Source organism: Homo sapiens, chromosome 1 (assembly GCF_000001405.40).
Source record: "Homo sapiens chromosome 1, GRCh38.p14 Primary Assembly".
Taxonomy (NCBI): Eukaryota; Metazoa; Chordata; class Mammalia; order Primates; family Hominidae; genus Homo; species Homo sapiens.
In genome coordinates, this window is record NC_000001.11 from 221,548,755 (window position 1) to 221,564,681 (window position 15,927).

General features: G+C 40.8%; 2 long non-coding RNA genes and 1 pseudogene across 3 annotated transcripts, besides 1 other annotated feature; 1 reads left to right on the top strand and 2 right to left on the bottom strand.

The window, feature by feature from the left end:
- The first annotated feature begins 496 nt into the window (after positions 1-496).
- On the top strand, positions 497-5,560 carry LOC107985462 (uncharacterized). Its single transcript, XR_001737823.1, has 2 exons — positions 497-721; positions 5,333-5,560. It is a non-coding gene; the product is annotated as an uncharacterized LOC107985462 (long non-coding RNA).
- Positions 1,207-1,906, bottom strand: LOC100132179 (solute carrier family 35 member E3 pseudogene; annotated as a pseudogene).
- Positions 6,590-7,090: an enhancer, noted in NCBI's record as "H3K27ac hESC enhancer chr1:221728686-221729186 (GRCh37/hg19 assembly coordinates)". NCBI's record gives its function as "activates a minimal SCP1, AML or CMV promoter by ChIP-STARR-seq in naive H9 embryonic stem cells {active_cell/tissue: H9 hESC(naive)}" and the evidence as "EXISTENCE:reporter gene assay evidence [ECO:0000049][PMID:30033119]".
- LOC105372937 (uncharacterized) lies at positions 6,792-14,899 on the bottom strand. 2 transcript variants are annotated; one of them, XR_922624.3, is made up of 4 exons: positions 14,729-14,879; positions 14,554-14,637; positions 12,312-12,383; positions 7,588-7,674 (listed from the first exon to the last, which is right to left on the bottom strand). It is a non-coding gene; the product is annotated as an uncharacterized LOC105372937 (long non-coding RNA). The 2 variants fall into 2 exon arrangements; XR_922623.3 differs by having other exon boundaries at positions 6,792-7,674; positions 14,554-14,899.
- Positions 14,900-15,927: the final 1,028 nt, after the last annotated feature.

Below are 15,927 nucleotides of genomic sequence, written 5' to 3' on the forward strand. Positions count from 1 at the left end.
TGAATCCAAAACTCATACTCTCAATATCATATTTGATTTTAGTCTCCAGTCCAACCAAAAACCAAGGACCATGAAACAGAAAGGATTGAGTCACTCTAGCATTTAGCTTTGCTACATGGACAACAGGCTAGCGTGGCCTTAATTGCAAGGTCATCTTAGGGTTTCAATTAGCATCAAGAGGGCAAACCCCAAACTGCAGGTGTTTCTCAAGCCTCTGCTTGTATAATGTTTGCTAACATCCCAGGTGCCAAGGCAAGTCCCACGGATCATGGAGGTTCAGTGAGTGGAGAAACTGACTCCCGTTCCTGGTCAGAGGACCCGCAGCATCACATTGCAGAGGACTGGAGCTGGGTGGAACACAATTGATGACCTCATGGGCACTTGGACGAGGAAAAGAGAGGCAGCGCAAATGCAGGTCTTTGCAGTTCTGTTCGGAAGGTTGTTAATGATCTACCCTGCCTCTAGGCTGAATCCTGAGATGTGGAGATTTGGACTATGTGGATGGAGAAGGGTCAGGGAAAGCCTAGTGGAAGATGTGTGATCAGGCTGTACTGTGAGGCTGCCAAAGCTCAAAACAAACTAAAATAGGACAAGCTGTGGGAAGAACAGATGAGCAGGCCTTAAATGCTAAGCTCAGACACTGGGCTTGCTAGGCCAGGAAACCCCCAGCCAAGGATGGGTTCTAACTGATTTCTGTGTCCCGAATAGAGCCTGACACCAGGTAAGAATAAGACTGTGTGTTAGTAAGTAAATATATGAATGTAATGTAGTACAGGGGTGGCTATAATTTATACAATCATATTTGAAAAGAAGCATGAACAATTTTAGTTTTAAAGGATTAAGTTACAAAAAGTATGCTAAAAATGAAGATTTCATTTTAGAATAAAATATCTTTTCTATTACATCTTGCAAACTACCATTCAATAAATTGTACATGCAATTTTTTTACTTCTTTGAAAGTAATTGGCTTATTTAACGATTTGTATCTTCTTGAGGTGACTTTCTTTTCATCATAAAAACCCAGTTGAGTACTTTGTAGCAATTTACATTTTCTTCCTTCCTGTTTATAGAGTACAGAATGAATATAAGCTCTTATTCTTACACCAAATAACTACATAAAATGCCAAGACTCTGGTTAATTAACAGTGGATCTTTAAATAACACATGTCCTCCAAATAAAGCAAGTCAGAACTTGAAGTGCCCAAACATGTCATAGGTGACTGATGAAGTGTACCTAGTGACCCAGTGAATTGATAAGTTCACCATGACAACCATTATTTCAGATAGCTGCACCATAGGCAAAGCAGAAGCTGACCAGAGACTAGATATTTCTTGCTCTCCATGCACTGACTCAGAGAAGCAACCAATAACAGCAGAAGGTATTGGTGCTTGATAGTGCTGCAGCAGCATTGAGTTTACTTGAAACTCATTCTGCTTGGTTTCTGCCCACACTGGATAAGGGGGTATAACTAAAACACTGAGAGCAGAAAACATCCTTCCAAGGACATTACATTTCACATTGTAATAAGAATTTAGGATTACACCTAAAGTTACAGGAATCAGTGTTGTGTTATATTCTGGTGAAGAAGGCCTTCTGGTAGCAGAGGGTCTGCATGGCCATAATCACCAGTGTAATGATGACCTTGATCAGCTGATGGACGCCTGTGGAGTTGCCCTGCAGAGAGAAGTTGGTGAAGACCTTGTAATCACAGAAGCTAAAGGCCAGAAGGAGGATCTTGGGGTGGCAGACATGTTGAGGCAAATATAACCAATTTCTGACAGATGTGCAAGCGCAGCCAGGTGACCACAAGATGCCCCAGGGTCAGGTTCATGTTAGGGATCCTTTTGTTGATGAACATGATGCAGATGGACACCACCAGGTTGCGGAGGGGCCTAGTGATGATGCTTGCTTTGTGCCACTGTTACCGGGGGTCCTTGCTCCCAGAGCTCCCAAGATGGTGGCGGGCCGCTTCCAAAATGGTGGAGGGCCACTTCCAAGATGGTGGCAAGCCTCGTGTTCTCTGACCTGGGGTTCTTGGCCTGACAGATTCCAAAGAATGGAATCTTGGGCCATGCGGTGAGTGTTATAGCTCTATTAGAAGCTGCGGGTCACGGAAGAGAACGGTGGAACCCAGTGACTAGTGTTCAGTTTGATTAGGATGAACCTGGGCACTTAGCCGTGCAGGAAGGGCAAGCCTTTAGCTGAATAGGGAGTGGCATAGGCGACTCACTGGATCAGGAGCGCAGCAGACACCCTGCCTGATCTGGAGGGATGGAAGTCAGTGGCGGGTCTGTGACAGCGGCAAACAGCAGTGGTGGACAGCGAGCGAAAGCTCAGCTTGAGCAGTAACAAGCACAGACCAAAAGAGAGTGCAGTTGCAAGATTTAATAGAGTGAAAACGGAGCTCCGATACAAAGGGAGGGGACCCAAAAGGGGTAGCCTTTGCTGGCTCGAATGCCTGGGTTTATATCCCGATCATTTTCCCTCCTGCTGTGCTCTCAGGCAATAGATGATCGGCTATTTCTTTACCTCCTGTTTTTGCCTAATTAGCATTTTAGTGAGCTCTCTTTACTATCTGACTGGTCGGATGTGAGCTAAGTTGCAAGCCCCGTGTTTAAAGGTGGAAGTGGTCACCTTCCCAGTTAGGCTTAGGGATTCTTAGTCGGCCTAGGAAATCCAGCTAGTTCTGTCTCTCACCACCATAAAGAGCAGCACACTCATCATCTTCCAGGCAAGCAGCCATCCCTCAGCACACACCACTACCCCAGTCCAATCATGGGTACTCTTGAAGACACATAGTTGTAATGGGTAAGAGGTTCGGTCCTTATGGTAGGACAGGAGTAGATATTTTAGTTCACAAAGGATTTGGAATTCCTCAAATCACTTTCTTGGGGCATCTCTTTACTTTGCCTACACAGTGACCCTTTGGGAAATGGCACCAGGTGTCCCAGGCTGGTGCTTAAAGTGGGAATATTAAGGTAAGATGTGGCAGATTCTACCAGATAGAATATCACTATGCTTCCTTCCAAAGGGAGCCTTATTCAACTCCTCTCTGCAATTGTTTGTATACAGAATGTGCCAAAGGTTCCAAGGAGAATCTTAAACTCTCACACCACATGTGACCCAGTGGAATGCAGAGGGCAGGGCCTCCTTCCGGAAACACATCAGCCCTAGTCCTAGCTCCAATCCTTCTTGCTGAGGGGCCTCAGCTCTGTTACCTACCCCCTCTATGTCTCAGTTTTCTTACAAGTAAAATGATAATATTAATAGTAGCTAGCTCATATGATTAGAAGGATTAACTGAGTACATAAAGCACACAGAACATGCCTGGCACAGAGTGGGTGTAACTGTCTCATGAGCGACCATGACTTAGAATAATCAATTTCAGGAGTCCTCCTGGGTGGCAGGATTATCCTTTATATATATTCCAAAACTGTTTAATGAGAAGAAATACATTTCAGTTAAAAATAATTTATATTATAATATCCTTTAGTTGGGTTTAGTTAGGTTCCTGTTGTTAATTGAAAGTGCCCCATGTGTGTTCACTGCAGCACTATTCACAACAGCAAAGACATTGAATCAACCTAAATGCCCATCAATGATAGACTGGATAAAGAAAATATGATACATATACACCATGGAATACTCTGCAGCATAAAAAAAGAGTAAGATCATGTCCTTCACAGGGACATGGATGGAGCTGGAGGCCATTATCCTTAACAAACTAATGCAGGAGCAGAAAGCCAAATGCCTCATGTTCTCATTTATAAGTGGGAACTAAATAATGAGAACACATGGACACACAGAGGGGAACAACACACACTGTGGCCTTTTGGAGGGTGGAGGGAGAGAATCAGGAAGAATATCTAATGGGTACTAGGCTTAATACCTGGGTGATGAAATAATCTATACAATAAACCCTCATGACACAAGTTTACCAATATAACAAACCTGCACATGTACCCCTGAACTTAAATAAAGTGTGGTTCAGGGACAGTTTTTATCCCAAGGGGCATTTGTCAATGACTGAAGCCATGTTTGCTTGTCACAACTGAGGGTGTTACTGGATGTAGTGAGCAGGGGCCAGGGATGCCGCACAGCACTCTACAACGCATAGATAGCCCCTGACGAAAAAGAGTTATCTGGCCCAAAATGTCATTAGTGCCAAGATTGAGAAACTGCTCTACAGGACCTAGTAAACAGAAATAGTCAGCAAACAACTGTATTCCCATTAGGCAAAAGAACATTTTCTCTTCCAAAGGAAGTTAGAGGACGAGGAGAGTGGCTCATGCCTGTAATCCCAGTACTTTGGGAGGCCGAGGCTGGCGGATCATGAGGTCAAGAGATCAAGACCATCCTGGCCAACATGGTGAAATCTGTCTCTACTAAAAATACAAAAATTACCCAGGCGTGGTGGCGCACACCTGTAATCCCAGCTACTAGGGAGGCTGAGGCATGAAAATCACTTGAACCTGGGAGGCAGACATTGCAGTGAGCCAAGATCATGTCATTGCACTCCAGCCTGGGCGACAGAGCGAGAGTCTGTCTCAAAACAACAACAAAAAAAAGGAAGTTAGGTAAAGCCAAACATGCAGCCTGGAGTCGGGCTTGTTGTGCTGATTTTTTCTGTTGCTGATATATGATTGTAAGCTTTCTTTCCGCTGATGTTTTGTGGGGAGGGTGTCCAAAGAGCAAAGGGAAAGAGAACAGAACAATCAGAGAAGAAAATAAGTGTATTCAGCAAATGATCCCTCCAATCCTAAAAGAGTAAAATGCTTACTTCCCTGATGAAAAAAAAAAAGTCATTCATAGATAAGAAAAATCATGTACAAGAGTTTTTGACACCAAGCTGATTAGAGATCTCACAGCCATCTTGGGATATCTGTAACTAAGCCTAACACTGAGTTGAAATAAATATTCCACTTACCTATTCCTTATTAAAATATTAACCATATCCACTAGAAAATGAAGCAAACAGCTTTAAGAAGAAAGCCCTAAATGAAAAGAAACTGCTGGAGAAGTAGTTACTTTACTTAAATATCATTATATACTACTGATTTTTAATAAACACAGTACAAAATAGAAAAAGTGTCCTACTAGAATCAGAGATATACAAGCTCTTATATTTGGGCTTTTAAACATCTGAGCTAAAGATGTTTAAAATAGTTTAGGTTTGTTTAGTGAAAATTCTCTCCCTTCCTACTAAGGATAGAGTTTATTTTCCCATCCTTGGACCCATCTTGGACCATCTGTGTGACTTGCTTTGACCAATGGAATATTAGCAGAGACCTGAAATGTGCTTATGCAGTTTGTTTTGACCTGTGTTTTTAGGCGATTTGCCACGAGAAGGACATGGCCTGGTGGCTACTGCACCTTCAGCTTCCGCACACATAAATACATATGGAACACACCGGACCTAGTCTCCAGCCTGGAGCCATGCCTACAGCATGGCTGAAGCATGAAGCAGGGCTAACTGGCCACATTCAACCTCCATCAGCTGAAGCACAATACACCTGCAAACCTATGAGTCTGAGAATAAAGGCTTGTTATTGAAAGCCACTAAGATTTGGGGTGGTTTGTTATCCAACATTCTGATGGCAACAGCAGTAATAGATCACCAGGTCTTTGTGATTTTGCTTTTAAATAAATTCACTAATTCTAAATGGAATTCTCAATAGATATTTGCAAATTAATCTTTTTTTCTATAGAAATAATGACTACTGCTTCTTTGTCTTGAGTTGTTGATAAAAATATATGTTTCATAGAGCATAAAATGGGCTACATGAGGGCAGACTTCTACAAGGATTAATTTCTATAAGATGTAGAAATGTCTTTTATATCACTTTAGAACTCTCCCAGGCATTTAAATAAGAGTGGTCTTTTTTTTAGGAAGTTCTGTTGGCTGCATGTAAACTTTGAAATAAAATTAGCTCCAAGTTAGAAAACAATTGGTATAGCAATCTACCTAAGGCATTCTTGGAAAAAGTTGGGTGGCATGATTATTTTAGTCTTTAAATTTCCAGAAACATTTCTTCCATTTGGCTTGTGAGATTAGGAATTTAGCAAAGAAGTAACAAAACCGTACTTAGATAGGCAACTGATGAACTGCTTAAACTAAGATTTCTAATTCATTGTGATCGGGAATCTCATTTACATAAAATGAAAAATAATTAAATTGCATCTTAATTGTGATCTTTTCCAATTTAATTGAATTTCAACACTTAGGTCAGTGGCTGGAGTACAAAGTCAATTTCTTCCTGAAAGGTTTTATTATTATTTTAAAATTAATTTCCTTCCTTATTCACAAGAGGGGAGTGATATAGCCCAATGTGAATGAACGATTACATGGACCTATATGAGGTTTTGAATAAATACCTTGACTTGGGCCCAGTAAGCTTGCAAAGGTTGCTAACTGTATGTATTTAGTTGTCACTGGTGAATTCGTATGTGTAGGCAGATGCAGAAGGAAGGTTGTGATATAAGCTATAGACTGTAGTCTTTTCTTTCTCTCCTGAGGACGGGGTGGACAAAATGGGCTTGAGAAGCAGTAGCCTGAAGTTGGGAATCACTGGAATTCAAAAATGTTAGCATTTAAAGCTGCCCAAGAAGCCAGTGAAACGACTCCAACCTGCCATATGAGGACATGGAAACTCTCAGAAAGGTAAAGGCAGTGATCTACCCAAGGCTGAAAAGATAGTGAATTCCAGAGCTGCGTGGTCCATCTAGATTCCCCGATTCCTAATTCTAATTACTTCTCAAGCAGATTTAAGGAAGATTATCTGATGCAAAGTTACCAAAATTACAGAAATTGTTTATTATGGTCATATATACAGGGTCTGACTTACTAGCCTTTAAATGCAAAAGTAGTGGTTGCTTACACTTTGCTGCAGCATTAGCGCTTACTTGGGGGGACTGCTGGGTGGCAGAGCCCCCAAAGAACAGCCTCTCCCATTGGGAGTTCTCCAAGATCATTGTCTTTCTCATTTTGGAGTTTGTGTTTCCTACAGGATCTATTCTGACAAAGCTGTCCTGTGGCCTCACAATCACGTCTGTCAGGGTAGCATGGTTGTCCAGGACAAGTGTGTATATCAGTGGCTCCTGGCAGGTGATGATTACATAAGCATCCTGCCAGCCACCCGAGTGGAAACGATGGTCCCAGCACTTCTGAGAGAAGAGAACATGACGGGGGTGCAGCATGCGGCTGGGGTGCACAGGCTTTCTGGCCTGGCAGAGATCTTTTCCAGTGAAGTGATTTTTCACATTGCAGGAGGAAACACGAGAAAAGGCTTCTTCATCTGCCAGACTCAGGGTGCCTTAAAACACAAAGTGCTTCAACTGTGTTTGAGCTTTGAGGGGGTTGGGGCTTGCTTATTTTTATAGTTATTTATGCCTTACTCTCATTTCAAGTGGCAAGCACTTTATTCAGTTTTCTCAGTGGAGCAAGAACAGACTGATTGGCCCTCTGGGTGTCCAGGAATGAAAGGTCACTCATCCACTTTGCAAACACATCCACTCAGGCGGAGAAAGCCCAGACAGCCTGTGACCTGAAAAAGCTCCTCATGCAGTGCCCCTCGGCCAGGCCAGGTCCAGATGCTTTCCTCAGAGGGCTGAGACATCAGGAGGACCACTGATAAGACCATCTAGCAAGGATTGGACGTGGACGAGGGTCTTCACTGAAAAGAGAGAGAAGATGGGAGAAGAGGGTTAATACATACAGAAAGAGAGAGAAGCTTGAGACAAGAGGGATGTGGAAAAGACTGTGGAGATGGTAGAGGAGAAAGATTGCTTTTCCTTATTTCAGAGCTATTTTTATCAGGATAACATCTAGGCCAGAAGAAAGCAGCTCTTGTTTCCAATGTATCAGGTTAACACAAAACATATTTGTTCACCTCCAGAAGCATAGTTTTGTTTCCTTACCAACATTCTGTGAGCAGTACCACACAGTGGCTAAAAGGTCAGGCTCCTGAGTCAAATGGACATGGATTTGAGTCCCAGCTCAAAGATATACTACCTTCCCTAAAGCACTATTTTATCATTATACTATGAAGAAAGAACAGTAACAACTGTACAGAGTTATTTTGAGTATCCAATGAGATAATGCATGGAAGTACATCATAAAATATCTAACACATAGTTCTCAAATATTAGCTATTAATAATTAGTGAGTATTGCAATGGACATAGCACCAACAAGATTCAGAGACACAAAAAATAAAAACTGCTTTCAAGGAACTTACAGTCAGCTTGAGGATATAAGATGAGCATACATGAAGCAGTATGGAATGGCCCACAACAGCATAAAGTGTATGAAATACACTAAGTTCTGCATGAGTTTACAAAGCCCACAGTGATGAAAAGTTGTGTAATAATTCAAGATACTATGGGTAATCATCAATGAAGTGGTATATTTAAGTAGGTGCTAGAAGTGGAGATGAAAGATGAGTGTCTTTTAAACCAGTGCTTCCCCAATTGTAATGTGCATATGAATCACCCAGGAATTTCCTAATAATATAACTTTTAGTTCGGTCCTGGGGTGGGGCCTCAGATCCTGCAGATTTAAGAAGCTCCTTAGGTAATGTCCATGTTATTGGTCCACAGACCACTCATTGAGTAGCAAAGACTTAGAGAAAGATTTTGGAACATATTCCTGGCAGGTAATGTGTTTACCCAGTGACCTGTTCCTTGTTTTATACCTATTAAATATTAAACATGAAGGATGATGAAGAGAAAAGAAAAGAGTGGCAAGAGAAATAGGCCACAAGGTTCCTACTCACAAGGAGTTTTGGGGTTGTTTTCTCCTAAATTCTCATTGATCAGAAAAACATCATCATTACCACCACTCCAAAACAGTCACCACCATTAACTAGCCAAAACAACTGGTGGAAAAATATCCATTGAACAAGTATGTGACAATCCAGTACCAAAGCTTTAATAAGTCCTAAACAGAAGTGGAAGAGAGCAATCACCATGGGGCAGGGTTAGTTAGGGAAGATATCCTAGATAACTGACATTCAACCCAAAAGCTAAAAGAAATGACAGAAAGGAGTGAAGACGGTGGATGGTGACAAAACCCAGGAACCGAAGCTCCCAACTCTCCTTACTTTTGCTTCTTACTCTTATTGTGGCACACTTACTTATGTGCTGCTCTCTGATTGCTTTTGAGATAGTTCATTCAAACACATTTGTAGCCGCCCCCTAATTCCCCAAGAAACACATACAGTAGATTCTTCTATCCTCATACAGAGATAAAAATTATATTCTTCTTAAGCCTTCAGTTTATGATTAGTCTAAATCTAAGCCATGCTTGCTTTTCCAGAAATAAAATTAAGTGTAGAGAAGTCAGCTCCTTAAGTTGTAGATCATGAAAATGTTCTAAATATTAGAAGCATTACAGAAATGCAGAGATAGCTGACATGTTTACATGGCTTGTGTAATTCTAGGTAACAATGTGTGTTCATTCTGATTTATAATAACACTAGGTATACAGGAGCAGCTTCTTTGATGAGGAAATGAAATCTTCTTTGCTATCTTATTTAACTGAAAAGCTCTTAAAATATATGCTTTGAAATGTCCCCTCTTCCTTGGTATTTATCCAAAGTTCTGCAAAAAGAGTTATAATCCACTTATCTCCAAGAAGCAAGTTGAGGGAGAAGTTACATAAAATAGTTGGCTTATTTATAGATGTGCATCTATTCTGTAAACCCATATGTAAAGACCAGAAGGGCATTTTGTCCCTAAAACCAGGACAAATAAGAGATTTGTAGAGGGAGGCCAGGTCATCAGCACGATAGAAGGCTGCTTCTATTGAAGCTTCTGCTTCTATAGAAGATGATTTATTAGACTACAAAACCTGCCCCATCATGCTTACTCATTACAGAAATTTATGTAAGTATGGAACAAGAAGTTGGATTTCACAATTAAATAGATTTAAAATGATCACCTGCGTTTTAGAGTCTTTTGCACATCAATGGCCTCACAACAGCCACACCTGGCAAAAAGTTCTATAATAGTTTGGCTTTCTGAAACTCTATTTTCCCCAATATTGGCTTTTATATTTTGTCACCACTTTCCCTTTAACTATCAGTTCTTCAGTGGTCAGATGGAGAAATCAAAGAACCTGCCTTTTCAAACGCGAGTGGTTTGGATTTTTTGTTTTATTTTATATTTTCATTATTTGACCCTGCTTGCCACATCATTTGGAAACTAATCTTCCTAGAAAAGAGAATCCTATGTTCATTGACCAGCAGTGGTGTTTGACATCTGCTGTCTGGTCCCATCTTATGCAATGCTAGAAGCTGGCTTCTCGTCCAAGAAAATATTTAAAAAGCTATCTATAGAAAAACAAAAAAAAATCCTTAATGTCTGGTTCTTTCAAAACACCTGTTGAGGTTTGAACATTTTCCCCAAGTTGACCTAAGATAGGAATATAAGAAGACATACTGAAATGGGAGAATGGTAGATTTTATCACCTCGAGAAACAATTTTTACTATTTTGCTGATGAAAACTGAAGGAAAAAGAGAGTAACATCCCAGGGCAAAAGAAAGGACAGTCACTCCCTAGATTCTCCCAAAATGAGATGGCTCAGATACTGGAAATGGCACTGGCTTGGTTCACTCTATTCTCTCCAGCAAGAACCTGGAAAGCCAAAAACCAGAAAGGTAAGGAATCAATTGACAAGCTAGGTCTGGATCTCTGACCTCCTTTCTTCCATGTAATCACCCTTCATTATATCTGAGAAACAAGAAAGGGACAAATTGTCCCTGCTCAGTGGAGTTACCAAACTAGACTATAGTAAGATAACTGCATAGGGTGGCTTTGAGAAAATTTCAGCCAAGTCAATGGGCCATCCCTGAAGAGAAATTACCTATCCAGCATTGGGCTAGAATGACCTAGCTCTCGAAGCCCCACTATTTTCCTAATAACCTCACCATTTCAGGCGTTGCCTGGGAGCAGCCTGAGGGAATTTCCACAGGAGTGGACCTGAAGGAATAGCAGCCAGGACACTGTCAGTCACTATGCTCCTTGCCACAGGTTTTCTGGAAGGAAGAGCTGAGTGGCACATCATTAAAGGCCACCCATGGGTTCTTAACTATGCATAAAGTTCATCCCATGAGGACAGGGAAGAATTATTTTAATTAGATAAATCAATGTGAACTCACGCAAAGATAAAAAGATCATAAAAGCAATGGATTTCATCTTTAAAAAGGAGTACAACATGCAGGCAGACATAATGCCAGAAAAGCTAAAGCTTAAAAAGAACTCAAGGGAGAAAAAGGACTCTTTTTAAGACAGAGTTGGAGCATGAATAAGAAAGAGAATACTATAGCTTCCTTTACTGGAAAAGAGGGAACAACGTTAAAGAGCGAACTAACATTAGTCAGTCAACCAAAATGTATTGAGTAACCCACAACATACTGAGAATTCTACTGCTAAACACCAGGGATAAAGATAAGAGACATTTTCTCTTTTCCTTTAACATGTTAGAGGGTCATAGATATCTTTGAAAATGTGATAAAGCTATATATACCAAACATGGCAAAGCGTTTAGCAAGAAGCAAGTGGGGAGAAAGAGGAGATGTTGAGTGGTGAAGGGATAAAAAAACAGGAGAGAAGCAATGTATAGTTTAGTAAATATGCACAAAAATTTGCGTGAAAATTCATAAGCCCCCTAAAATGGGGAACCCTTAAGCACTTTAATTCATTATATTTTAAACTCCTAATCTTAACCCCCTAATTCACATCTGTTTTCAGTTAGGGGAATGATTTTTCAGACAAGAACAAATAAAATAAATATTCACAAAATTTTTTTTTAAAAATGTAAGAGAGTATGCTGCTCTCAGTGTGTTTATAACTATTGATTGTAACAAATGTCATCTCAGGATAGTCAGGGGGTTATATATTAATAATGCTGCCAAGTCATCGTCTGTTTTCTTCAAGAAAATGTGGAGAATAGGATACATGTTTGGTAAATGATGGCATAATATTTCCAGAGGAGAAAGATATAGATAAGCCAATAAGCACATTAGTAATCCTAAGCAGGATTCTAAAACAAGTTGTATATGCTTAGAAATGGAGAAGTGGTCACTAGTAGCAAGTATGGGTTTAGTAAAAGCAGAGCATAACAAGTTAACCATATGTTCTTTGGTGACAGGTTATCACTAGATTGGTAGGTTAGGGGAATAAAGTAATCATGTGTCTGTAATTTGTCAAGGATTTCATAGTGTATTGGATAGAGCAGTGCAACTGAATGATAACACAACTGGAAGAAAATGCAAATGCTTAATGACTAAACCCAAAGAATCTTTATTACCAGACTGATGTCTTCATTGGTGCTTCTCAGAACTCCATCTGACCAGTGTCCAGTTAAACTTTATATTATGGACTGTAATGAGTTCAGAAATAGCATGGAGTTAAAACTGGTGAATGGCATCAAGTTAAGAATGCAGCTAATACGGTAATGAAAGAATCTGGATCTAAAATTGATAGATTTTGTTATTGTTAAATTTAGGGTTGATGGAAACAGAACTCTGCAAACATAACAGTGTCATTTTATTTTACATGGGTTAGAGCACACTTTCAATAACACTATGTGTACTTCCAGGTACAACGTTTTTAATAGTATATTGAAAGACTCAACCTGTCCTGGTAAGAAAGATAAAATGATAAAGGACTTCAGAATAATTCAACATAAGGAATGACGGAAAGAACCAGAGAGTGTTCAACATGGAGAAGTTGAACTTAGGGAGTTCATGTTGTTTAAATTATTCAAAAGGATTACATAAAAAGGGAATGACACATGTTCTCTGGGGCTCTGGAGAAAAGAATAGGGACAATTAAATATACATTACAGGAAAATGTTGACTTAGCTTAAAGAATAACTTTTTAATCACTGATTGCTGAAAAAAAAGTGAAAGAAAATGTTTTCCGAGTATGACAGATTTTCTATTACTAGAGGCATCCCAGTAGATAATCAGATGGATAACTCAAAGGCCACCTGGTAATGTCTTCAAGAGACATTGTCCAGCTAGAATTTAGTTGGACAAAATGCACTCAAAGTATATGAGGGTAGAAAGAACTCTGAGTAGAGGCAGAGGTCAGAAAACCTGGTCCTCAACCTCCTTCATGGAAAAGTATCTCTTGGGCTCTTTCTAATTAAAAACTTCTAATACTATTATGGTGTATAACTTTTAAATTCATTTGTATGATCCTGCATTAGTCAAAATAGGTTATGCCTCAGCAACTAACAACTTCAAAATTCTCAGTGGCTTTTAAAAAAAACAGAGGTTTGTTTTTTGCTCTCAGGTTGATGGGGAGCCTTAAGAATCTGAAGTAACTTGCTTGGGTAGCTAGCAGAGCGAACTCAGTAAATTCTGCAGTTGCTCTTGATGGCCTCTGGCCTATCTAGAACTACTCTCAAAGCTCACTCAACCTTGAGAGTAAGCCTGGAGATGGGGATGGAAGGAACAGGCAATGTAATCTTCCATGTACTCAGAGGAGAGGAAAGCCAGTTTTTATGAGCAGTAACTGACAACTGTCTGAAATTAAAATGGGTTTAAGACCTCAAAAAACAAAAGAACCCAAAGAGAAAGCACTGCTGTCTCTTCCCGGATCAGGTCCTGCTCTTATCATGAATCTTTTCTGGGTAGGTCGCTTCACCTTTCTATGCCTCAGTTTCTATAAAACAAGGAGAGGAATATATTTTTCTAACTCTCAGGATTGTTGTTTCAGTATAATTAATCGATAAATAGAAATGTAATTCAAGATATTTTAATAATCATTGTTAAAAGAAATACTTTAATAAATTAATTAATTTGAACATTATTAAATAAATTCATATAGAGTTTATTTGAGCAAAGAATGGTTTATGAATTAGGCATCACTCAGAACCAAAAGAGGTTCAAGGGCTCTACCCAGACAGTGTGAGCAGCGAGCTTGTATAGGCTGAACACAGAGGAAAAGAACAGAAATCACTGGATTGGCTATATTAGAAATCACAAATATTTGCCTTATTTGGGCTTGGTGCAATGCACTGGCTGCCTGTGATTGGCTGAAGCTCAGCTGTTTGCATTGGCTGAAACCCAGCTATTTGTTACAAAAAAATATACTTCCAGTTAGGTTTTGATTTGTTTGACATGCTGTTAGGCTGTGATTTGTTACCTAGGATCTCAAAGTTCAGACAAAGCCTCAGATAACAGCTTCCTGCTAATTTAATTTAACACTACACAAATGAAGTGGATAATTCATAAATACTCTATGCCAAAACCTAAGATAAAGAACCATGCAGCTGAAAGTCTCCTGTATATCGAATACATTTTTAGCAATTTTGTACCCGAAGGAAGCACTTCTACTTGTGCAATTTAATATTCTTTTAACGGTCTTCCCACTTTCCAGTGAGTTAGGTACAAAAAAACAAAAAACAAACAAACAAAAAAGTTGTTCCAATCCATGTTACAGAAGCCAACTAAGGCATAGGACCCAGCAAGGGCTCCTCTGAAAACATCCAGAGCCGGTGCCAGGATCAGGAATAGGGCGCCCTGGCTCCCCACGCCTACCAGGCCAGTTTGCGTACTCTTCCTCCTCTCCTTTGGCCTTGCTCCTCCCTTACTCCCATTTCAATAGCTCCACAAACTCTTGGCCTAGAGAACAGAGAATGTGGGGTACTTGGGCAGTGGATGAGGCGACCTCTGCCAGTGGCCTTCTCAAAAATAGTTCCAGTTCCCTGCCGACCTGGCCTGCCCCCTTGGGAAGGTCACAAAAGGGAGGCTGGGCACATGACCCAGACGTTTTGGTCCAAAGGCAGCCCAGATGTTCCAGGCACCCACGTTCCCTGTACAGATGCCGAGTAATAATCGCGGCATCCAGGAATGTGGGCCCAAGTCCCTGTGCTTCCGGCCGGGGGAAACTCCCGCGTCAGGGAACTAATTGTGACTTGGACGGTGAATTGGAATGTTTGGAGGCATAGGTCATGGACTAGATAGGATGTAGGCAGATCCACAGGCAATAAATGCTCTCTGCTCAAGGAGTCACTGACCTACCATGGGGTAGGAAGCAGCCGTGGAAGAGACGGACTAGCGTCACGGTGTCACAGTGAGGGCGAGAATGCGTGCGCGTGCTCAGACATCGCGTGCCACGCACGCATGGCCGATTACTGTCTTTCTCAGCAATTGCTTGCCAAGCCCAATCTAAAAGGATTTACTAAAGACCCAAGAAGAGATCATCAAAATTTAGACAGATATAGTGTCCTCCCTTAAGAAACTCATAAACTGAGGAGGCCAGGCATAAACACATGTAACAAGTAGAAAAAACAAAATCACAAGGCAGTGCAGAATACCACCAATATGGTAGAATTCGGATGAGGTAGAGCAGAAGTGGGTCTCGATTATTGGGAAAGTTTTCATAGGTAATTTATATTGTGGCTCATGTCTAAAATCTATCTCTTCCACGCTGCTCCAGACTGTTCCAGCTTCTTCCAATCTAATATCAACTTGCTTCTCAGTTAGCTAGATCACTTTCTCCTCCAAACAAACCAGTATAAAGAAGCAGCCTTGGCCGGGCACGGTGGCTCACCTCTGTAATCCCAGCACTTTGGGAGGCTTAGACGGGCGGATCACGAAGTCAAGGGATTGAGACCATCCTGGCGAACGTGGTGAAACCCCGTGTCTACTAAAAATACAAAAATTAGCCAGGAGTGGTGATGCGCACCTGTAGTCCCAGCTACTAGGGAGGCTGAGGCAGGAGAATCGCTTGAACCCAGGAGGCAAAGGTTGCAGTGAGCCAAGATAGGCCACTGCCCTCCAGCCTGGAGACAGAGCGAGATTCCTTCAAAAAAAAAAAAAAAAAAGAAAGAAAGAAAGAAAAGAAAGAAAAGAAAAGAAAAGAAAAAGAACAACAACAACAACAAAAAAGCAGCAGCAGCCTTTGATGGA